The 22,914-nt window shown below is 48.2% G+C and overlaps 1 protein-coding gene across 7 annotated transcripts in view, besides 2 other annotated features; it reads left to right on the plus strand.

Annotated features, from left to right (window-relative positions):
* Positions 1 to 22,914, plus strand: part of ZBTB16 (zinc finger and BTB domain containing 16) — a 197,060-nt gene that overhangs the window by 13,660 nt on the left and 160,486 nt on the right. The window lies entirely within an intron of this gene.
* Positions 18,160 to 18,676: an enhancer, noted in NCBI's record as "H3K4me1 hESC enhancer chr11:113962252-113962768 (GRCh37/hg19 assembly coordinates)". NCBI's record gives its function as "activates a minimal SCP1, AML or CMV promoter by ChIP-STARR-seq in primed H9 embryonic stem cells {active_cell/tissue: H9 hESC(primed)}" and the evidence as "EXISTENCE:reporter gene assay evidence [ECO:0000049][PMID:30033119]".
* Positions 18,677 to 19,191: an enhancer, noted in NCBI's record as "H3K4me1 hESC enhancer chr11:113962769-113963283 (GRCh37/hg19 assembly coordinates)". NCBI's record gives its function as "activates a minimal SCP1, AML or CMV promoter by ChIP-STARR-seq in primed H9 embryonic stem cells {active_cell/tissue: H9 hESC(primed)}" and the evidence as "EXISTENCE:reporter gene assay evidence [ECO:0000049][PMID:30033119]".

Raw genomic sequence — 22,914 nt, forward strand, 5'->3', positions numbered from 1 at the left:
AAATCCCATGCTGTTAATTTCATGCCAGCATAATCAGAAATTCCCCTTTCTACTGTTTCCCCTTAAAAGCCCCGGTGTCCTTATTATGCTGGTGCAGTCTGGAAAAACTATGGTTGGGTTTTGCCTACGTGAGGCTTATCTCTGCAGCTGCAAGGAGGGGATCCGGTACTTTATTGTCAGCATGGAAACTTCCGCTAAATACTTAGAAAAACCTTAATTCTAAATTCCTAGCTCACTTTCAACTGTGTCCTCGGGACCTGATTTTCTTCGGTGTGAACAGATTGTGTTCAGCATTGCAGTAGAAAGGGTCCAAGTTAGGTAAGAGAAAGGACTTCCTGAGACACTGGGGTGTTACTGAGAAAGTTGTTAGAAGACTGTCACAGACATTTTGATGAAGGGGGGACATTCTGGGCCATTTGAAGTGGTTTTTAGAGTTCTTTCCTCTTTAGGGCCATTCGGTTCCCCCAGAAATAAGAAGAAAAGACATATACACGCACATAAACCACCACCACCAGGCTTGCTGAGAACAAGTCAAATGTGCCACCAAACCATCGTCTTAGTGGGAGATGGGGTGGCACTGCAGGGGCAGAAAGACTGACGTCTGATGGACTTGGGTTTGAATACTAGTGCTCCATGGTGAATTTGGGCAAATGACTTCACCTCTGTGAAGCAGCAGTATCCTCTTCTGTGAAGTGAGGTTAGCCCCTACCTCTCAATGTGGTTTTTAAAGTATGTTAATGAGATCACTTGTAACCTAAAGCACACAGAGTGTGAGGCCACCTCCCTACTTCCTGCTTCTCTCATGACCCCAGCCTGACAAGGGAGCCGCTGAGCCCCCTGCCACCCTCACCCGGCGTTGTGCTCTAAGTGGATTAGCTCAGCGTTGTGATCTTAATGCCATTAGGCCTGTTGGCACGGCTCTCCTTGCCATAGTGAGAAGCAGATGTGGCCGACCATAATGGCCCTTAGCGTGATCCATCGGGCCCACAGTGCTGGGGCAACCATTATTAGTGTTAATTTGGGGGAGCTTTTTATGGTAGCTGGGGGAAATGTGGAGGGATTGTTGGAAATTTATTTAAGCTGTTCAGCAGGTTAGGTGCTGCTGGGGTCTACTATGGCAAAACCCTCAGCTCCCCCAACCCATCTCTTTAAGGAACGTCCCTCCCCAACACCGAAGCCCAGGCCTGATTACTTCCAGAGTTGGAGAGACAACTTAGCAGGCTCTTGTTTCTTGCCGATGTACCTTATTAGTAGCACCTGGCATCATAACCCACTAATGGGAACCAGTGCTCTCCTCCTGCGTGGCCAGTGACAAGTAGCCCTGTCAGCCGGAGCTCGCCGTGCGAGGAAGTTCCTATTAGCTTTATGGTCAGGAGAACTTGTCCTGTTCAGGAAATGAATGTTGCCGCTAAAGGTCCGCGGCCCTGACCCTGGCGGCATAACCTGTGCGGGCCGGGGAGACCCTGTGCAGGATGCTTGGGATTTCAGCCCCTCTCTGGTTCTTGTCATATGTAAAGAGGGAATCATTGTGGTATGTTGCAGCCTTGAACTTTTGATTTATGCAGTGAGGGCGACTTAACCGTTTCCATGCCTGGACGGCTGTGCAGTGACAGAGCCGTGTTGTGAGCGTATGTGCCTAGGTACATGTGTGTGTGGGGTGGTCAAGGGGAAGGAGAGACCCCCACGTGCTAGCAGGGGCTGTTGCTGGGAGTGGGTGGATTTCATGGGAGGATTCCTTTTCTTTTTTCTTTTTCTTGCATTCTTGCAGCATCTAAATTTCCTGCGATTGTTGGCTGCAAAGTGGTAAGAAGCTGGAGAGCATTGTGTCTGGAATTGAACCTGGGTTCGAATTAATCTTCTGTCTCTTAGAGGCTGTGTGACCGTGGCAAGATTCCTCACCACTCACTTCCTCATCTGTGAGATGAAGTTAATAACTTCTGATTCATACTGGTGGTAGAGCAGTGTTGTTAAGTAGGTGATGTATAGAGAATACATGGCCCAGCGTCCGGCCAGTGGTGTGGCCTCAGGTTGTATACTTGAAAGGATGTGTATACTTCAGTATTTTTTCCATTGTAAAATTAAGGGTTTTTTTTCTTTTTTTCTTGAGACAGAGTCCTACTTTGTTGCCCAGGCTTGAGTGCAGTGGCGCGATCTCAGCTCACTGCAACTTCCGCCTCCTGGGTCCAAGTGATTCTCGTGCCTCAGCCTCCCAAGTACCTGGGACCACAGGGGTGCACCACCACACCTGGCTAATTTTTGTATATATATATATATATATTTAGTAGAGATGGGGTTTCGCCATGTTGGCCAGGCTGGTCTTGAACTCCCGACCTCAGGTGATCTGCCTGTCTCAGCCTCCTAAAGTGCTGGGATTATAGGTGTGAGCCACTGCGCCTGGCCTAAGTTTTTAAAAATTAAAAAGAATGGCATAGTGCTTTTTTGCTCTTTAACAGATCAAGACCAAAAGTTTTCCCCCCATCATAGCCCAAAGTCCTAAAGAAAGGCTACTTAAGTTGTTCGTTTTCTTTTGTTTCTCCCATGAGTAATGTTTCTAAGTGTGATTTTTGCAGAGAACAGCAGTGTCTGACCTCATTCTTGAGGGGAACTTTTCTGCCTGCCTCTTCTTGAGAAAAAATGTTTGTGAGTTGTCTGGCAAATGGATGCGTTACTTTTGCTGCTGTTGCTGCCGCTGCCGTTTTAAAGGCCCCTGGTGACAAAGGAGTGAACTGCACTTTCGGGGAAAGCATGCCGGAATCTGGCCCAGAAAAGAGGGGCCGCTGGGGGAAGGGTTTGGAGATGACGCCTCCTCAGGAACTTTAAAAGAAATCTGTCCATCTGTCTCTGGCATTTATGGCATCGTTGACAGCAGTTCAAGGAAAAATAAAAATAAGTTCTTATCTGATTGCGGGGCTGATTGCAAAGCCGAAGGACTAGAGTGGCCAGCGAGTCGGGCGGCTGGATCTGGAGTTTTGGAGAAAGGGCCACTGGCTCATTTCTGGGCACGCACGCTCACGGAGGCAAGTTCTCACCTCCTCGTGGGCTTCTCTTCACTTTACGTGGAAAAACTGTGTACGTCTCAAATTAAAAGCAGCTCTTGCCCCGCTTAGAGCCGGTGAAAGCTGCTTCGAAGGCGTTTGTAGAGTAGGGATTGGAAATGTTCAATGCAAAAGTTAAATCGTGACAGTTGTCCCCTAAATGATCTGCTAAATTAAGGATCCGCTAACATTTGTGAGTCTACCTCCCTGCATTCCCCCCACCCCCACCCCCGCCCCCTTGGCAGAAGGGATAAAGATGGTACCTAAAAACAATGTGAAGCGGCTGCTAAATCGAGTGACTCTAAAAACATTTTTCTTTCCTTGAAGTTCAGTGTGGAAAACCAGACTGGACTTGTCAGGGATGCAGACCTATATAGGGCCCATGTGCCTGGCCCCTTTCCTCACTTTCTAGCACAATGGTTTTCATTGCCACCTCTCCCGCGCCTTTCCCCCCTTCATAATTATCCACTATTTTACTTTCTGTGTCCTGACAGCTACAAGAGTAGTTTTTGTTTTTTTGAGCTGAGTAGCTGCTAAATATTCCCCAGCAGCCAGATTCAACGGCTGGGGGGGAGAATAGGCCAAACCTTGGCATCCCCTGTTGCAAAAGTGAAAAATATTTCTGTTTGCAGTTAATTTTAGTGGCAAGCAGATCATGTTAACTGGATGTAATTGCTTCCAGATATGGCCGAGGGTTTTGTGTGTTGAGATGAAGGGTCTGGTAAGTGCTTACTTCCTGTGTAAATTAGCCTATTCCATTCAGTCTTTCATTCTGGCCAGCCCTGGATTCTGTCATTCTGCTCCCATTTTCCCCCTCCCCAGCCTGCAGCCTGGTGTGAGAAGCCGCTTGCTATGTTCCTCTAAGTGTAATTCTTTTGTCACTTGGAGCCACTCTCCTCTTGGTTCTTGATGTGAGTTTGCCCTTAAATAATGAGAAGGGTTTGAAAAGATGCCACCTGGACCCCAGGCCACCTCCCGCCTCTTTCCCAGCAAAGGCAGATCTGAAGAGCATCTCCTGGTCATGGGGGTTGCATCTTGGAACCCAGAACTCCTTGTTTTCTATGCATTTTTTTTTCCTACTGCCCTCTGACCCCCGACTCTCACCTGGGAGAACACCTTCTCTTTCTCTCAATTAGTCCGACTCCTCCTCAGCCTGAACTAAGCACGTTCCAGTGGGTCCGAAATCTCAGAAAAAATGAAACGGCTGTTGCGCAGAGGAGAAGGTTGTGGCCACAGAAAGGAGTTGCCTCATCAGACGTGAAGCCGCCACCTTGCCTTGCAAAGCAGGCTGCACCTCCTGACACACCTGCCCCTCCCTGCAAGAAAGGGAGGGGAAATCCCACCCAAGAGAACCTTCTCCAGGTTCCTGTGGGTTTCCAGGGTTGCAACTGAAGAAAAGTGTTAAGATTCATGTTCTCCTAAATTCTGCTTTTGTCCTGTGGCCAGTCCCACATTCTTAGTGCTATTTGCATAAGAGGTTGCTGTTTATCTTCCTATATCAGCCCCACTGATAACCCCTGTGGTCTGTTTAACAACCTATGAGGAGTAGATTACTTGATAAATGCCAGTTTTTCCAATATGCAAAGATAAACTGTTGGGGTCAGGGTGAGGGGTGGTGTGTTATGAAGGAGGGGACAGGTGGGGAGCCAGGACCCTCTTTTAGTGGGCTGGAGAAGTGTGAAAGAGCCTGATGAAAGAAAACAGGTAGCTTGTCACATACAACAGCTGCATTTATCATACGGTTGATCAGCTTCCTGCCCTCACCTACTTTTCTCCTCCTTCATGTGGACATGCAGAGTCTCTGAGAACATTTCATCAAGTGGGTTGCCTATGCCCACATTAATACAAGATGGGAAAGGGTGGAGGTTATCTTTGCTTTTTAAGTTCCCATCTTTTTCTCCCTTGGTCGTCTCCCACCCCTACAAGTTGTTGGCTGGTAAGCAATTGATGCTCAGAAAAATGATGTTCATCTGAAATCTTAAATGAGTGGACTTTTTCTACCTTCCCTGACTTTGCAGGTGCTTCTTGAAGAGCCAAGGAGAAAAGAAAACTTCTGACCTCATCACCTAGTCAATAAGCTGTCTGAGAAACAAACAAAAGAGTTTAGACTGGCTGCTAAAGCTAGGAACCCAGCTGATAGCTTTGTTTTGATGTCCTTGTAATGTTTGCGGATCGCAGAGGGTGCTATTTAGAGCAGGGGGCATCTACTGGGACAGACTCACTGGGAAGTTGAAACAGCTAGCTCAAAGTCCAAGAGATGCTAAAGATAGTGAAATACAGCCCAGGAATTGAGGGGGAGGGGGTTCCTCACTCAAGAAGGAGACTTTCTAGGAGGGGGCGGGCGTGGTATTTTCTAGGGACAGTATGGAATGAAGGGAAGAAGGTTGGCTTTAGAAGGAGGCACCCTGTGGGAGGCTGAGACAGGTGGGTCACCTGAGGTCAGGAGTTTGAGACCAGCCTGGCCAACATGGTGAAACCCAGTCTCTACTAAAAATACAAAAATTAGCTGGGTGGCAGGTGCCTGTAATCCCAGCTAGTCGGGGGAGGCTGAGGCAGGAAAATCGCTTGGGATTACAGGTGCCTGTAATCCCAGCTAGTCGGGAGAGGCTGAGGCAGGAAAATTGCTTGAAGGAGGCGGAGGTTGCAGTGAGCCCAGATCCTGCCGTTGCACTCCAGCCCAAGACTTTGTCTCATTAAAAAAAAAAAAAGAAGAAGAAGAAGAAGGAGGCACCCTGGATGAAGACTCAGGCTCCAGAATTTACTATCTGTATGTCTTGGGCAAGTGGCTTAGCTTCTCTGAGCCCCTGTTTACTTTTCTTTTGAAAATGACCACCTTGTCCATGGTAATGAGGATAAAAAACGTGTAAAGTGCATAGCAGAGTGCAGGTGTACTGGGTAGACATGTATGATTGCGCTGTAGCCCTGTTATGGCCCGGGGAGAAACTATGAAAGGAACCAGTGAAATCTTTTGTTTTGGGCACTGCTAAATTGATGATAGTACTAACCCTGTGCTAGCAGCCAGCTGGTGAAATAATAGGTGAATAATGTTAGTACATTGTGAATATAAAAGTTTCCATTTGCAAAGTGCTACTGCTGTTCTAAAGAAGCCACATTTCTAATAAATGATTGCTTAATCCTGTGATGCTGCCACAGCCCCACAGAGTTTGGGAATGTTTGGGAATTCTTTCTGAAGTGTGTGCCGCATTCTTTTGCTTTGCCTTTTGGGAGGGTAGATGTGACTATTGGAAATGGTCAAAATAATGCAGTAGCAAATCTGTTGACTATAGTGAGTGATAAGCACTGTCGGCTGCTGTGTCTGACTCGGAAGGCAGATTCTGGAAGGGGTGTGTGGGGAAGGCTTGTTGGCTCAGCACTGGGGTGAGTGTTGGCCTCACTTCTTAGGTGGGAAGTGGACAAGGCCAAGGGGCTTTTGATTTCCAGCTACTATGGCTGGACTCCCAGTGAGGAAGGAGTCGCTGCCATGGATTGCCTGGGACTGGGAAGACTCCTTTTAACTGCTGTAATGTTTCTGCATTTGTGGTTTGGCCTCCTGTGAGTTTGGGCTCCGGGGCGGCACTTCTGTTGTTAAAAGAACAGAAAAGAAAACAAAACAAAACAAAAAACCAGGACTGTCACTGTTAGATGTTGGTTGAGGCTAGAAAGAATGGATTGAGTTTTGACCCCCTACACCCCGGGGAGTAGGGAGGCCTGGGAGGCACAGTGGCCTGAGTTTGAATTCTGACTCTGCCTCTTTGGAAGGCTCTGGAAGGTTAAAGGAGCTTGTGTGTTCAAATCTTAGCCTGGTACCTGGCATATACTCAGCATGTATTTTTTTCCCCTTTCCTGACAATGTTCCTTGCCCCGAACACTTGAATAGTGGAGAGAGGAATGTTTGCTTTTCCTCTCCATTGAACCAACACTCGCCCATCCACTGAGCCCAAGATTCACCTTAGGATTGTCTGTTGGACTCGGCTCTTTTGTGACCTAACAGTGCAGGGGCCTTGTGCTGAGCTGCACATGCTCGCTCTCGCTGGTGCTCCCTCTCTCTCTCTCTCTCTCTCTGCATTATTTATAGTAAACCATATTAGAACAGAGTGTTAAAGAGGAAGGATGAGTCATTCCCATTGAAACCATTGATGACATAAATAAAAGCAAAATGCTTACTATGTGTTTTGTGCAGTATTTAAGGCCAGGTTGTGCTAATTTGAATGCTCCCAAACTGGATCTGTGAAAGCATACATATGTGGGAAAAAATTCAGGTTTAACTAGAGGGAAGTTATTTATTGAAAATCCATTTCAGTATCTGCTTTCTCCCTTCTATTTACTTCAGATCCATATTCATATCATGCTTGTTGTTCTGGCTAACGAGAGGGACTGGCTTATTCACTAGCTAAGGTTTGTTTATTTTCGGAAGGTTGAGGAATAGCACAGAGAGGTTGTCTAAGTGTCCCTGTCTCCATTCCTCCTCTTGCCACCTGTTGAGGAAGGCACTCTCCACCTGCTTTGCAGGCGTGGGCTCTCAATGTGTCCAAGAATCACAGTCAGAGCTGAAGGGCCCTTGGAATCATTTATTGCAGCATGCTCATTTGGGAGGAGTAAGTGGAGGTCCAGAGAGGTTCTGTGATTTTCCCTAGGTCACACAGCAAGCTAGAGGCAAAACCAGGACCCTCACTCCCAGCCCACTTTAATTCTTCCTTCACAAGCCTGCCTGTGACTGCCCAGGTCTGTTCTCTGCTTCTACCAAGGGGTAGGCAAGACTAGAATCTGACTTGAGAGCAGTTTCAGATCTTTGTCTGTGAGGGATGCTGGGGGGTTTCTGGCATGGTGACTTGCCTCCTGGGACACTCATTAACCTCTCTGCTGCTGAGCCTGAGCAGACTAATGTACATCAACTCCTTAGGATTTACAGACAATGCCCTATGTTGGGGGTTTTGAGACCCAAAGATTGCTAAGACATGGGACTTTTCCTTGAAGAGCTTATACTTTGAGTTAAAATATGTATGTTGATATCTATGACAGAGAATAGGAAATGGAAAGACTATGATATATATATTCAGAGTTGAAATGACTTCTGTCTGGAGTGATTCATTTTAAATTTTAAAACCTTGTTGAGCACTTACTGTCTGCTGGGCACCTGGGTAGGCCCTGGGAATACTGTGATGAGCAAGATAGACAAGACGTCTACCCTCCTGGGGCTTTCCTAATGGGGAAGAAAGATCCTTACTTAGCTAGCAGTCCTGTCCGTAACTGTGTAAGGGTGATTTTGATACATGTTGGGAGCCTGGATGAAGTAGCACATGAGTAGGATATTAAAGGATAAGTAGGTTTTGAAGACGGGGACAGAAAGAAGGAAAATTGTGGTCAGGGCCAGGGGAGAAAACAAGGAGTAACTTTCTTTGGCAGGAATGAGGGTGATTCATGCTGGAATGGTAGGCTGGGGTCAGACTGTGGTGCTATAAATGCGTGGAGAGAGATTAGAGAAGGCAGCATGAAGAATGGAGAGAAAATGAGTTTGAAGTTGAGCAGACCCGGGTTCAGATTTTCATGCTGCCACTTGCAAACTGTGTGATGTTGGCCATCAAGGACTGTGAACTGGCTGGGTGCAGTGGCTCACACCTGTCATCCCAGTGCTTTGGGAGGCCAAGGCAGGAGGATTGCGTGAGGCCAGAAGTTTGAGACTGGCTTGGGCAATATAGCGAGACGATCTTTACAAAAAAAAAAAAAAAATTAAAAATGCAGCTGTGCATGCCCATAATCCCAGCTTCTCGGGTGGCTGAAGAGGGAGGATGGCTTGAACTTATAAGTTCAAGGCTGTGGTGAGCTATGATCACGCCACTGCACTCCAGCCTGGGCAACAAAGTGAGACCCTATCTCTATTTCAACACAACAACAACAACAACAGCAACACACACCATGAACTGTAGCTTCTTCATTCCTACAGTGCAGTTATTGTGTGGGATAGCCTGAGGATTTGGGGTAGTGTACTTAACACACTCTGCACAGTGCCTGTAACAGTGTAGTTGCTCAATAAATATAACTGCTGTTTGTTTTAACTGCTGTTTCTTTTTGGACTTTATCCCGGGAGAGTTGGAGCCTTGGAAGGCATTTGAAAAGGAGAGTGACGTGACTGGAGTGCTCCATACTGATGTGACATCCACTAGGCATGTGTCTGACTGCCCCCTGCTCCTTCCCTGCCTTCACGAGCCTGTCTGAAAAGGAGTTTAGTGCGTGATCATCAGCTCCTAAGGAGACCTCTCCCCTGTATCTTGTACCTGGCACTCTACCAAGATTTGATGAGAGGACATGAAATGGACCCTTGCCACCTCTCGGTGGGCGGGGAAGCTGGGAGAGGGGCCTGGGGAGAGGGGGTCTTCAGCTGTCAGGATCAAAGGAAGTGACACTCTGAAGCTGGTCTGCCGGACTGTTACCCGTCTCTCTAACTCTCTTTTAATAGAAACCCAGTCTCCCCTCTTGCCTCCCTGATAGTGAACAGCGACGCTATCTCCCGCGGGCCAGTCTCGGCTGTGGTCGTAGCACTACGCAATGTCTGCAAACCGACAGTGGCATGGGGAGATAAGGGCCCCAACGTTGTGTAACGAGGGGCATGGGCTGTTTGCCCGAGTGGCTCCTGGCCCCTGGGTAACTGCTAACCTCAACGGAGGAGCGGGCCGGCCTTGGAAACGCCGTTCCAGGGCCCCTCGCTGGTTCCACGGATGCCTTTTTGTGGTTGGATAAAGGAAGCTCATGTAGGCCGCCCACAGCGCAGCATGGCCTTGGGCTACGGGTGTTTGGTTGTTTTGTTTTTCTCTTTTCTTTGTCTTTTTTAAAAAAAGAAGTTGAAAGGGGGATAGTCTTGCTTGGCACCTACCACCTTTAACCCAAAACCAAATAAAACAAACAGTTCCTAAATATAAATTAAACTTCAACCTGCAGTATAGACATCCTCCTTCCCTGCCCGAAACCCACTGGCCACTGGAGGCTAGCTTTAAGAAATTGGTTTTGGAGACTCTGGCTTGAAAAGGAGCCATGCCCACTTGTCTCACGTCCCAGTCGCTGGCTCCAGGGGGCCGTGGTAGAACATATATTGTACTTCAGCTGCCTTTCCCCTCCAAGCTTCCTCAGCCACCCACAGCCCTTTCAGATGAGCTGAGCCCTAGCACTGTGCCCTCTCCCCTCTGCCCTCTTAGGGTGATAGAATCCACTACCCTGACATCTGGGGTTGCCCTGTTCTGCTGTGGTGGGAGATGGGCTGGAAGGGACTTCGGAGGCTCTCCCGTGTTCTGTACCACCCAGCTTCCCCTTGGATCCCTCCACCCCCGCAGCCAGGAGAGGGAAGTAACTGTTCTTTGAGCAGGACATTTCATTTTCAAAGTATTCTTGATGCCGCCCCCCCGCCCCACCGCCAAGAATTCTGCTCTGTGGGTGATACTTATAAGGTAACTATATGGCTTCCTTATTTAGGCAGCAGTTTCTCTTCTATGATTTTAGTTCCTCTCATGATTCTTATAACCCTCTCTCAGATACTTCCAGGATGATAAATCTTCTATCACTGTTTCATCTGATCACATCAGGGTGATTATATTTCGTGACATAACCAGGTGGCTTTAATCCGTTGGTGGAAGAACCAGGCTCTCACCTCCATTGTTTAAGATGTTATGTTTCTACTAATCTGTCCACTGAGTGTCTCCATCCTATTGTTTCCATTGCATGCTCTCAGGTTATTTCCTTTGTTCTTGGCTGTCTGATTGCTCCCAGAGGCTGCAGTTATTTTATTTTATTTATTTCATTTTTTGGTGGCAGTAGGGGATTGATCTCTCTCTTGCCTTTAGCTTGAATGGGTGGTCATTTCCAGGCTTACACATTGCTCCATGCCCACTGTAGGGGTCTGGCTTAGAGATGGTCGGGGGAGAGAAGGTGGTGATTTAAAAGATTTGGAGGCGGTGGCTTACATTGATTTTAGCTTATCTAACCCTTTAGCTAGAGGCTGCTCTTCCCTCAGAGTGTCCAACTAGCTGTAACTTAAAGCAACAGAGAAATGTATATCATCCCTTTTCTTGCATTAATTAGGGCTGAGAAATTCATTATTTAGAGGGATAAGAGCTCCGGAGGAGGAGGGTTTTTTGAACTAATGTAGAGATCTGTGGCCAGCTGTGTGATTCTCAGGTAGCAGGTGAGCGGGTGGGGGTTGATGAGAGGGGTGAGAAGGAGCAGGTGCCAGGGTCAGGCAGGGGAGGGAGCCCCCACTCCGTGCATCATCCCAGAGCCCTGTTCCTCCAAGCCCAGATTAGACACCCTTCTCCACGTGGGGCCTCAAGTTAGAAATCCTGGGAGGAGGCCTTATTGCTCAGGATCATCTGGGAATGTTGCTTTCTGGGTTTAAAATACAGTCAATGTTTAGATGAGCTGCTGTTCAGGCACATGGTCTGGTTAGCAAAGGGTTAAATCCTGCATCCCGTTTTTAGTCATCAAGCTAGCTCAGATCTGCCCACCTTGGAGCCCTGTGCTTTCCTGCCTTAGTGGGCAGAGTCTAGGGGACCTGTGGCATGTTCAATGATTGAGGACTCTTGTCCAGATTCCAAAAACCTACTGTGATGATGCTGTTCTGAAGCTGTGGTAGGCGGTGATTGAGTGGAGTGTGTAGTGACCCTCAGGAATTCTTCAGAAGTTAGGATTTTGACGATACCTCTGATAAGTTGGGTTTTTAATTTGCTGGTTTATCTTAGAGTGGAGGCTGTGGCCCACAGCAAGTAGTACATTTTCCATCTCAGCCCAGTGCATGGACAAACGTACCTCAAACCAAAGGTTCAATGAAACTCTATTTATCTTTACTATATGCTCTGGTATCTTCTCTTCCATTCTATCTTATTTCATTTAAGAACGTTAATGAAGACCCACTAATGGATTGCCACCCATGGTTCGAGGAGGTCCCCCAAACAGTGAGGCCTTAGCCATAGGTATTCAATTCAAAAAGCATTTACTGAGCATCACTGTGTACTAGGTGGTTGCTAAATGCTATGGGGGTAATGCAGAGAAATTAATAAATCCCTGTAAGAGTTCACTGTAAAACAGAAATGACAGCCATATGTGTATGACTTTGTGTGTGTGTGTGTGTATATATATATATCAGACTGTATGATTAAATATTATATAAGTGAGGTATGGGGGAGCAGAGGAGAGGAATTGAATTTTGAATTTTGATTGAAGATTCAGGAGGGCTTCATGGAGGAGGTAGCATTTGGCCAGGTTTTAGAGAATGGCTAGGCTTTGGACAAGTGGAGACAGGAACTGCCATTTGGAGGTAGGAGATGAGCTAATGTGTGGCAGTGTATGGGTGGGGGCAGGTGCCTGTATACAAGGTAGTGTGCTGGAATGGGGCGATGGGCATGGGGTAGGATGGGAGATCAAGCAGGGAAAGTGGATTGGGGCCAGGTCCTAGAATGATTTGAATACCAAGCTAGCTTTCTGGACATTTGTAAGGCGCACTTGATAGGGGTTGGATCATTGCGATATTATTGGAAGACAAAACTGGGGAGGGTGTGAGACCATGTGGCTGCTCAGAATGCAGAGCCCCTCTGATGTCCTCAGCCTTCTACGTATTTAGTGATGGGGGTGGTGGTGGTAAAGAGCCTTGCAGACAGCCTGGCTTGGGTGCTTGCTTGAAGTTCTTACGCCCACTAACTCCTGCCCTGCTCTGTGGAGCCTGCTGAATGGGGCATTAGGCTAGTCACACACCTGTCCTTTTTCACATTCATGCTGTACCCTTTGCAAACATTACGCAGCAGTGCAAACTCAGCCCTGGGCCTCAGAGGAGCCAGGCGTGGCCAGGAGAGTGGGATTTGGAACGGAAGTGCTTTTGTTTTTGGCATTCACTACTCCCCCACCCCCACTGGCACTTGGATTGTCCTTCTTTTTCTCCTTGGTGTCTCTCATCCTGTCCAGCCTTCAAGACCTCCTCAAGTCAGGCTTCTCTGGGAAGCGCTGTCTGTCTGTCTTGGTGCTTGCTGGCTTCCTCTTCTGTCTCCTGTGCCATCTCCAGTTTGCACCATTTGAGTATAAGCTCTGCTGCCTCGTTTGAGTTTAAGTTTTATCCCCCCAGCCACAACCTAAGTTCCATGAGGATAGTGATTGTGGTTTATCTTCTCTCCCTCAGCTGTCTGCTGACACCATGCTGAATACATAGTAGGTACTCAGTAAATAATAGCTAATTGAGCATTTACTATGGACAAAGCACTTTACTTGCATTAACACATCCCATCCTCACAACCACCTGTGAGGTGAATCCTATTAAAAGGAATACTTGGGTGCTTTCAGAGTTATTCTCTCCAGCTTTGGACTTCTTGTTTCATTTGCCCTGAGAGCTCCTCAACTCTGTTGATGCTGTTCTTTCAAAGGTTGCTTGTGACCTCTTAGTTCTCAAGAGCACTGTATTAGGTTGGTGCAAAAGTAATTGCTATTTTAGACATTACTTTCAATGGCAAAAACTGCAATTACTTTTGCGCCAACTAATACTTTCCCAGACTCCAGTATTGGCTCCATTGACCCCTCCTGTTCCTGCCAACTTCTCCCCCTCCTCCTCTGGTATTTCCTGGAACTCCCTCCCTAGGGTCAGTGCCATGTGGTGCCTGGAACTCCCTGGGATCTGTGTTTGAATCCTGACATTGCCACTTTCTAAGTGGCAAACACTTTGGCCACCTCCCCCTCTTCCTGAGTCTGTTTCATCATCTGCAAAATGCTGGTAGTTTCTCTTCTCACGGGAAAGATGGTGGTTGTTCATCGATGTCTGTTGAAACCGTGACCCTCTCTGCTGAATGTAGAAGAAGATGACCTTACCAGTTCTCCTGTCTCTCCAGTGTCTTTCTTGACAATCTTGTGGTTTCCACAAGCAACCCTCTGTGGGTGATTTCCAGATCTCTACCTCTAGTTGTTTTTCGTTTTTTGTCTTTTCTTGTGTTTCACACATTCTTTTCCAGTAGCCTCACGGGCACACCAGTCCTGCAAGGATCTAGAATGTGATGTGTTTGAGCTAGTTCAACACCTTCCTCTCGAATCGTCTCCTGTGTCCTCATGTTTTGTGGTCTCTGCCCTCTTCCCAGGCACCCAACTGCAGACTTTGGCATCATCTGTGGCTCCTGTCTTCCCTTTGCCTTCCATATCCACCATTTGCCTCTCCAGCCTACTTAACCAGATGGCTGTCCTGATTTCCTCACCAGCCTTCCTGCAGTGCACCCCTGCAAGGCTCATCACCCCACTTCCCTGAGCAGAGTAGGGCTCTGATGGGGTTGCTCTCCTGCTCTGAACCCTGCAGTGGCTCACTATGGCCTATTCTAGAGAAGAAACGAGAGAATTCTTAGCGTGGCATTCAAAGCCATCCGGGATCCTAGATTCCAGCTACATTTTCACTCTTCATCCCTTTCTCTGCATATTTCTTAGAATGTACACCCCTGAAGGCAGGGACCATCTTTTTCACATCTGTGTTACAACCTTTTAGTCCACTCTCTAGCATATGGCAACTCAGCAGATGCTGCTGTTGAGTAAACTCTTATGCTTCCCTTCCCATGCCATATCCTTCTCTGGTCATCGCAACAGGGCCAAATCTCTCATGCTTCAGTGTAAATGCCCTCTCCTTGCAGCATCCTTTCCTGGGGCATTCTTCCTCCTTGCATCCAGTTGGAAATAATATGTCCCTCCATTGGAGCTCCCACACCAGAAGAGGTATAGATAAAGCCAGATACTTCTTTTTTTTTTTTTTTTTTTGATACAGAGTCTCACTCTGTTGCCCAGGCTGGAGTGTAGTGGCATGAACTTGGCTCACTGCAGCCTCTGCCTCTTGGGTTCAAGTGATTCTTGTGTCTCAGCCTCCCGAGTAGCTGAGATTACAGACATGCGCTACCATGCCTGGCTAATTTTTGTATTTTTAGTAGAGATGCGGTTTCGCCATGCTGGCCAGGCTGGTCCCCAACTCCTCGCCTCAAGTGATCTTCCTGCCTTAGCCTCCCAGAGTGCTAGGATTACAGGTGTGAGTCACTGTGCCCGGCCTGGATCTTTTATTGTTTGTATTTCTGTTCATTTCTTCCCTAAGAAACCCCACGTTTTTGTGGGCAGGACCTGGAATCCTATTCAGTTATACAGCCCCGCTTCGTCCACTGCTCCCCTTCAGAGTCTAGTGCCCTGGACATCATAGGTATTCAGTACCTCTTGCTGGCTTAGGAACAGGAGGATGCCTGATGGCCAGGGTGTTCCTCTGAAGCAGGGGTGGCTGAGCTTTTTGAATATCTGCATTGTGCTAAGGGTTAACTACCCAGGCAGTACTGGTGGGGAAGGGCCCCAGAAGCAGGCCCAGACTCAGGTATTGTTAAAGCAGAGTCATCTTTGCTCTGAAGTTTTTTCTTTTATCTTTTCTTTTCTTTTTTAATTGGGGGAAACCTTGTCCTAATTGGCATCTTTATTGTGGCAGGAATAGGCCAGGCAGGGCTGGGGGAGTGTGAAGTCTGTGAAGGGAGGTGGCCTGGGGGCCCCCCCACACAATGCCTGATTGTGCAGGCATAGGTATGAACACATTGCAGCCTGTGTGCACCCACAGGGTGACCACGAGCAAGGCCTGGGGACGAGGACTACGAGGCCTGCAGCTGGGTCCTCTTTTCTCCCTCCTCACCCCCACCCAGTACCCACGTGATTGGGCCACATCCCAGTAACAAGCAGTCCTTGTGGAAGAGCCTTCATGAAGACCTTTGCTGGGAGTGGCGGGCAGGGATCTGCGGGGAGCGTTGCTGGTTCAAGCTGGGGCTTTCCTATGGATGATGTCCTGTGAAGGGTAGATCCTGGAGGGACAGACAGGTGTCTGATCTTTGGCAGGCAGGGATGTCTCATTTGTACATTATAGGTATTCAGTATCTCTTGCTGGCTTAGGCTTCATAATGTCTCATTTGTACATCATAGCCTTCAGTACCTCTTGCTGATTTGGTTAACCCAGTTGTTATACCACGATATTGATTTTTCATGCCATTTTCTTTAGGAAGATTGGAAGATCATTGAGGATAGGGACTGTGACCTTTTCTTTTTTTCTACCCCAGTACCCAACCTGGCAGGTAGCACAGCGCAATGATCCACGATGTTTAATAGGTTGAATTGTAGAGGGGGCCTCTGATTCCAAAGATGGGGGCAGAATATCAGTCCTCTCCAGACTGCCTGGGAATCCTCCTCTCTCCAGCCTGGGCCTGGCCAGTGGGAGACAGAGGCTGCTGAAGTAGCTGGCAAGGAGGCAAAGAAGATGATGACCTAGCTACGGTCCTCATGTGCCCACTGGGGAATCATCTTTTTGCATCTGAGTTAGTCAATGTGCTGTGCATTCTCTGCAGAATTTGTGAACCTGGTATAGGTATGAGGTGAGAGAGGCCAGGAGGTCTGGCTGCTCCCCCTCTAGACTTCGCAGGTAAAACCCAAGGTGTGTGCCACGTAAAGGTTCAGAGGTTTTATAGGCATCCAGATAGCACATGTGGGTCTCTGCCCCTGCTTGCAGCCTCCCTGGGGCAGCCAGCCAGGCTCAGGGCAGGAAGCTGCTGATTCTGGGTCACTTGGCTGCTCTTGCTTGCTGCTGCTGTGATTGTTCCTACAGTTAAGATCTTAGCTCCATAAGGGACATACGGAGGTCATCTAGGTCATCTCATGGCTCTCAGGCAAGAAAAGTAGCATTATTGCTCTCATGCCCACTTTATGGATAAGTGACCGAGGCCTGCAGAGGCAGAGTGGCTATTCCAGCCATTAAATGTGGCTCCCTGCTATTCTGTTCCCTGCCAGGATATTCTGTGGATGGTTAGGGGAGGGGTCTTACCTCAGCTAACGAGGTGCATTTTCTGTGGGGTGAGGCCATTCTTGTCACTTAGGTGTCTGAGGCCTGATGGTGTTGGGGAATGTCCTGGTTCTATTCCCAGGGCTGTAACGTGGGGGAAGGATGGAGGAAGACAGAATGGCCTCTGGAACTTTTGGATCTTTCTGAGTTGAGGCCTTGTCTGGCCAACTCCGGGAGGCTGCTGGCATGGCAAGCAGGGTAGGGATGCCTGGCCTAGCCAGGGGAGCTCCCTCTCTCCCCTCTGCTGCCCCTCTTTCCACCCCCATCATAAACACGTGTGGACTTTCTGGTGGTGAGAAGATGGTTTTGGAGGGCTGGGCTGAGGTCTAGGCAGGCAAGAGCTTCCAAATGTGTGGCTTTGATTCTCAGCCTTTTCATCCCTCAATCCTGGGAGACTCATTTTAAAACTTAAAAAAGGACTTCATTCTATTGGATGCTATGTGGGCAGGCCCTGGGCTGTTGTAGAGAGGCCTGAAACCCACTTCAGTTTCCTGGACAGGCTGGGAGTGTGTACCCATGGGTTCCCTGCTGCCCTATTCCTGGAAGACACTAATATCCCTCCCAAACTCTTGGTTGGTTTCTGCTTTTTTTCTGTAGCATTTTGTCTTTGTGGGAAATTTTAAGAAACATATGTATGGCTTTTTGGTTTCCACTTATTTATTTTCCCCTCTGAGTTTCAGATTTCATCCTTCTCCACCCCTTCCCCCTGCCCTAAGGTGGGGCTAGTGCAAATCGCAGTGTGTGTGTAGTGGGATGGTTAAAGAGCCGTACATCCTCACACCTGGTGACGCAGACTAAGGCAATTAACCTTCTTTAGTAAAGACCCTTTCAGCTGGGTGCGGTGGGAGGCACTTCGGGAGGCCGAGGTGGAAGGATTGCTTGAGCCCTGGAGTTGGAGACCAGCTTGGGCAGCATGGTGAAACCACCTCTCTAAAAAAATATAAAAATTAACGGGACGTTGTGGCATGCACCTATAGTCCCAGCTACTTGGGAGGCTGGGGCACGAGAAGTGCTTGAACCTGAGAGATGGAGACTGCAGTGAGGCGAGATTGCACCACTGCACTTCAGCTAGGTGACAGAGTGGGACCCTGTCTCAAAACAAAACAAAACAACAACAAAAAAAGCATGTTTTCCTGTCTTTCCCTTCCTCTCCTCCACCCCCTGGCATGAACTCTCAACTCCTGGCCTGTGGATGTCCGTTTCTATAAATGCTGGTGCTCGGTGGTCACCGTAGACGTCCGAGCAGCCCCTGGGGCTTTGGCTTGTGTTTTCTCTGTACTTGTGAGGGTGGTTGCCACTTCTGGCCTTCTTTGTGCTTTCTTTTTCTTTCCTTTCCCCAATCTTTTGTTCCTCCCTCCCTCCCTCCCTCCCTTCCTCCCTTCCTTCCTTCTGCTTTCCTGTTTAAAGTATATGGCTGCACCTAGCATGACACAGTTCCTATTTATTCCTCAGACTTGCTGGGACAGTCTCCTCTGTATGCGGCGACTGAGGGTGGGTTCCAGTGCCCCAGCCCACTCCCCTTCCCCTTGTTTTTGTCCACTTGGCTGGACAAAGAGAACAAAACCAAATGGCCTCCCCTCCCCCTCTCCTAAGCCGGTCAAGCAGTGGTATTCTGGGATGATTTTCCCTGCAACCATTTAAACAAGTGCTTTGATGCTTACGAGTCATTGGAATGACCAGGCCTGTGCGCCCCTTCTCACTGACACCCTTAGACCAGGCTGGGCCTCACCCTTTTGTCTTGCTGCCCCTCGGTGCCCAGTGGGCGTGGGCAGTAGGACTGAGCAGAGGGGCCGAGGCTGTGCTGGCCGGCAGCTCTGTTACAGTAGAGTGGAAGGAGGTCCCGGCCAGAGGGGCAGGTCAAACAGGCCTCTTTTATTTACAGTGCTCTCTTTCACGGCCTCACTGAAACAGGAGACCCGAGAGGCTCCGGTGAAAGGGCACTGTGTTTGTGCATTCAGGCCTTCCAGGGCTGGCTACAAAGGTGGGGGCACCCGGAGCACTGAAGGGGCTTTTTGTCATTGGCAGTTTGGCTTAGGGGAGAAGCGAGGGAGAGCCAGTGTGGGAGCCGCCTCTAGGATTGTGAGCAAGTGCCTGTTTAGACAGCTCCACGCTGCTCCTTAAAACCTATTTTGTGGTCTGGGGTTGGGGCGGGGGCACACTGCCTCGATCCTCTTGTTGTGTGGAGCAAAGTGATTCCTCTCTTCTTGTGTTCTCCAGATGGTTCCGTTGTCCTCACATCCATTGTGGTTGAGGATACAGTGCAGAGAAGACCCCGCTGTCCTCTGCTCCCCCTCCTTTTCTCTCCAAAGAGAAGTTTCAGGGACAGCAATAGACTTCTGTGGGGCCTTTGTTCCTTGTAGCTTTCATTTTTCAATTCTTCTTCTCCCTGTATTATCTTGCTAGGCCTTAGTTTGTGCATCTCTAAAATGGGCTGGGAGGTGCTAGCCCATACCTAATATATAGGGCCGTCGTAAGGCTTAGGTCCCATAACTCATGGGGTTGGCTTGCACAGGGCTCTCTCCTTTCAGACTGGTCAGGCCATGGTCCTTTTATGAGTCTGAAGAGCCAAAATGAAGACCTCACTTTCTAGTATCCCCAATCTTCCTCCCACCTTTCCCTGGCTCTTGAGGGTTCTTTGGGCATGTTCCCTTCTGGTCTCCATTATTATATAGGGAAGAGAAATTTTCCAGAAGAATATTTGAAGGATTAAAGTTTGAGGTTGTAGAATATGTGAAAACACACACACACCACACCACACCCCAAAATCACCCTTTTAAAGAAGATTAAAAAACCACCAGTGCCTGTCCTACATTGGTAAACTCTGGCAAGCCTCATAATGTTGACTTTACTGACCTGCCTGACTTCAGTGGCCGAGTCTACATGGGGTGTTAAGGCCCCACGTGTTTTTGCCTGTGCCCTTTAATTGTATCTTCAGGACCATATTTTCAGAACCAGAAATCACAGCCACAGTTTGGCAGTGGCACAGAATGGTTCAATTTAGGCCTATCCCAGAGAGGCTTGGGTTGTCTGTGAAGTTCTGGGTGGTCTGTATTGTGGAGAGGTGAACACCGTATTGCTGGGGGTGTGGAGGGGGGATGTTGCTGTTTCCCTGCTACAGAAAGGCCAGGCTTCCTTTTCAGCCTTTTGTTCCCCGATTCCCCTCTCTTCCTCCACTACACTCAGCCCTGCTGCTGCTTCCAAGGGACAACTCCCTCTCTTGTCCTTGCCCATCTTTGAGAGAGGCGGTGAATAAACACCAAGGCAAGAAGAAGCAACGGGACCCCTAGAAGGAGATGAGTGTGTGGCCCAAGGATGGTGGAGCATTGTCCTGAAAGGTAGAACCAAGACTATAGCCTCCGAGGCTCTGTTTACCATATTCTTGGCTCTTGTGCCACTTCTGTGTCCAGCAGCTGGAGCTTGTAGAAGAAAGATGGGAAAGACATAGTACAGGAAATGTTCCCATTCAGCCAGCACTGATTTATCTGCTGCCTGGTTTCTCAGGAGGCCTAATCTGTAAGAACAGTCGAGAACTTTATTTCTGCCCTTTAACCTATGTCCATTTTCTAGATAGTTTCTAAAAAAGGCATCACACCAGCTCTTTGAGACAACATGTCATATGCAACTGTTGGTTTTGGGTGGAATGAAACTGAATTGTCAACGGACATTTTTTCTTTCTGTATTCATGTGTTTGGAATAGTGACAACGTCATTGGTTCAGACTTTGAGCCCCCTTCTGGTTAGGCTCTTCAGTATAAGCCCTTAAAAATATTTTTGACTTTTCAGGGCCAGGCGCGGTGGCTCACGCCTGTAATCCCAGCACTTTGGGAGGCCGAGGCAGGTGGATCACGAGGTCAGGAGATCGAGACCATCCTGGCTAACACGGTGAAAGCCCGTCTCTACTAAAAATACAAAAAATTAGCCAGGTGTGGTGGCGGGCGCCTGTAGTCCCAGCTACTCGAGAGGCTGAGGCTGGAGGATGGCGTGAACCCGGGAGGCAGAGTTTGCAGTGAGCTGAGGTTGTGCCACTGCACTCCAGCCTGGGAGACAGAGCAAGACTCCGTCTCAAAAAAATAAAAAATAAAAAACATTAAAAAATTGACTTTTTGAGTAAAACAAAAACCAAACGAGTCCGTGTAAAGTCTAAGATGTTGGTTCATCTCAACATTGGGATATTGGAATAGGCCACTTTGGAAGGTTTCTCTAATTGATGAAGGGCATGGGCCACCCCATGGATTGCAATGCTGTGGCTGTTTGGGTGGCATCCAGCTTCTAGGGGATGGTGGCAAACTTGGGTGTGCAGGCAGTAGGAAGGAGGAGGTAGCTTCCAGAGAGAGCCATTGCTGGGGCTCAAGAAGTTTCTTTCTGGGCTCAAGCATGGTTGCTAGTGGTCCACACAGTGCTTTCGTGTGAATTAGAAAAAGCACCCTTGTTGTGGATGGATGTGGCTCTTAACTAGGGTCTATCCCACAGTGAGCTGGTTGGGGCTGGATCTCAAATCTGTTTGCCCCTCAATCAGAGGCAGGAGGTCCCTGGCCCAAGGGGCTTCCATGGTTGGAGTGGTCGTCAGCCGAAAGCTGTTCTGGTGAGATGTTTTGAGCTATCAGTTCCAAGTTTCCAAAGGCCAAGGCCTCTGGGATCAGTTTCACTGATCCTTCAACCAGCTTATGTGCCCTGTTAGCCCAGATACCCCTCCAGAGTGCTTCGCACTGGGCTGCAGGTCACTGTGGCCCCACACCATAGAAGCTGGGGGCCTGTCTGCATGTTCTGGCATCCATAAAGCTGCCTGCAAACGTGAGAGGGGGTTTATGGCACCCTTTTAGCATGACTGTCTCTTGTGACCAAGGCCAAGAAAAATAGCACAAAGATGTAGGAGTGGTGAGGAATGAAGATGCACGTGCACGCGCCCTGCAGTCTCAGTCAATGCGCTCTTTAGGGTTTAGTTTGGAAAACCACAGTGTCGTGTCTTATGTAACCAATTTCTTTTCTTTTCTTTTCTTTTTTTTTTTTTTTTTTTTTTTTTTGTGATGGAGTCTCGTGTCTTGCTCTGTCACCCAGGCTGGAGTGCAGTGGCTCGATCTCGGCTCACTGCAACCTCCGCCTCCCAGGTTCAAGCGACTATCCTGCCTCAGCCTCCTGAGTAGCTGGGACTACAGGCGCCCGCCACCACGCCCAGCTAATTTTTTGTATATTTAGTAGAGACGGGGTTTCACCGTGTTAGCCAGGATGGTCACAATCTCCTGACCTCGTGGTCCGCCCGCCTTGGCCTCCCACAGTGCTGGGATTACAGGCGTGAGCCACCACGCCCGGCCACCAATTTCTTATACATAGGTTATGGAGCAGGGAGAAAGAGACATGCAAACAAGGCAGAATTGGGACCTTTGCAAGAAGACCTTCTTCACTCGCCCACTTTCTCATACTTTTAGTCACCAAGGCAGGGTCTTTTTAAACAACTGCGAGGCTCAGGCCTAGGGGGTTAGGAGAGTAAACCCTAAATCCCTTTCACCCTAGCATGCTTGGGTGCCGTGTTGACAAGGTCTCTGAAGTGCCCATGGGAAGCAGACCAGGCTCTGAGAATAATTTCCATGGAATTAATTATTGTTCTTACTCCAATAGATTTGAAATCTATTTAACTTTTCAGGGTCCCCTAGCTTTTTAAATGTTTCAAGTGTATTCTCTCTGATAGGTTGCCTTTTCTCTCCCTGTAGGCTATAATTAGTGTCCTTTACACAAAATTGGCTTAGAATTGGATTTAGAGAAGATAAGAATCAAATTACCAGTATTTATCTTGTAAATTCCAAAAGATCTACTTAAGACACTGTATTAAAAAAGGAGTATAAAAGAAAAGTTTATTCTATGAAAAAGTAAATTCCTCATGGTCTGAGCAACCAGGGGTATTTTAATATCAAATCTCCAGACTTCCCTTGGAGGCACCTAAAATTGCCTTTTCCCTTGTCGCTCGTTTTTATCTCCAGTTGAGCTTCTGAAATATGTTGCCAGGCTTTGGATATTGGAGAGCTGGTGTGGTTTCAGCTTT

The sequence above is a fragment of the Homo sapiens genome, chromosome 11, assembly GCF_000001405.40.
Source record: "Homo sapiens chromosome 11, GRCh38.p14 Primary Assembly".
In the NCBI taxonomy this organism is placed as follows: Eukaryota; Metazoa; Chordata; class Mammalia; order Primates; family Hominidae; genus Homo; species Homo sapiens.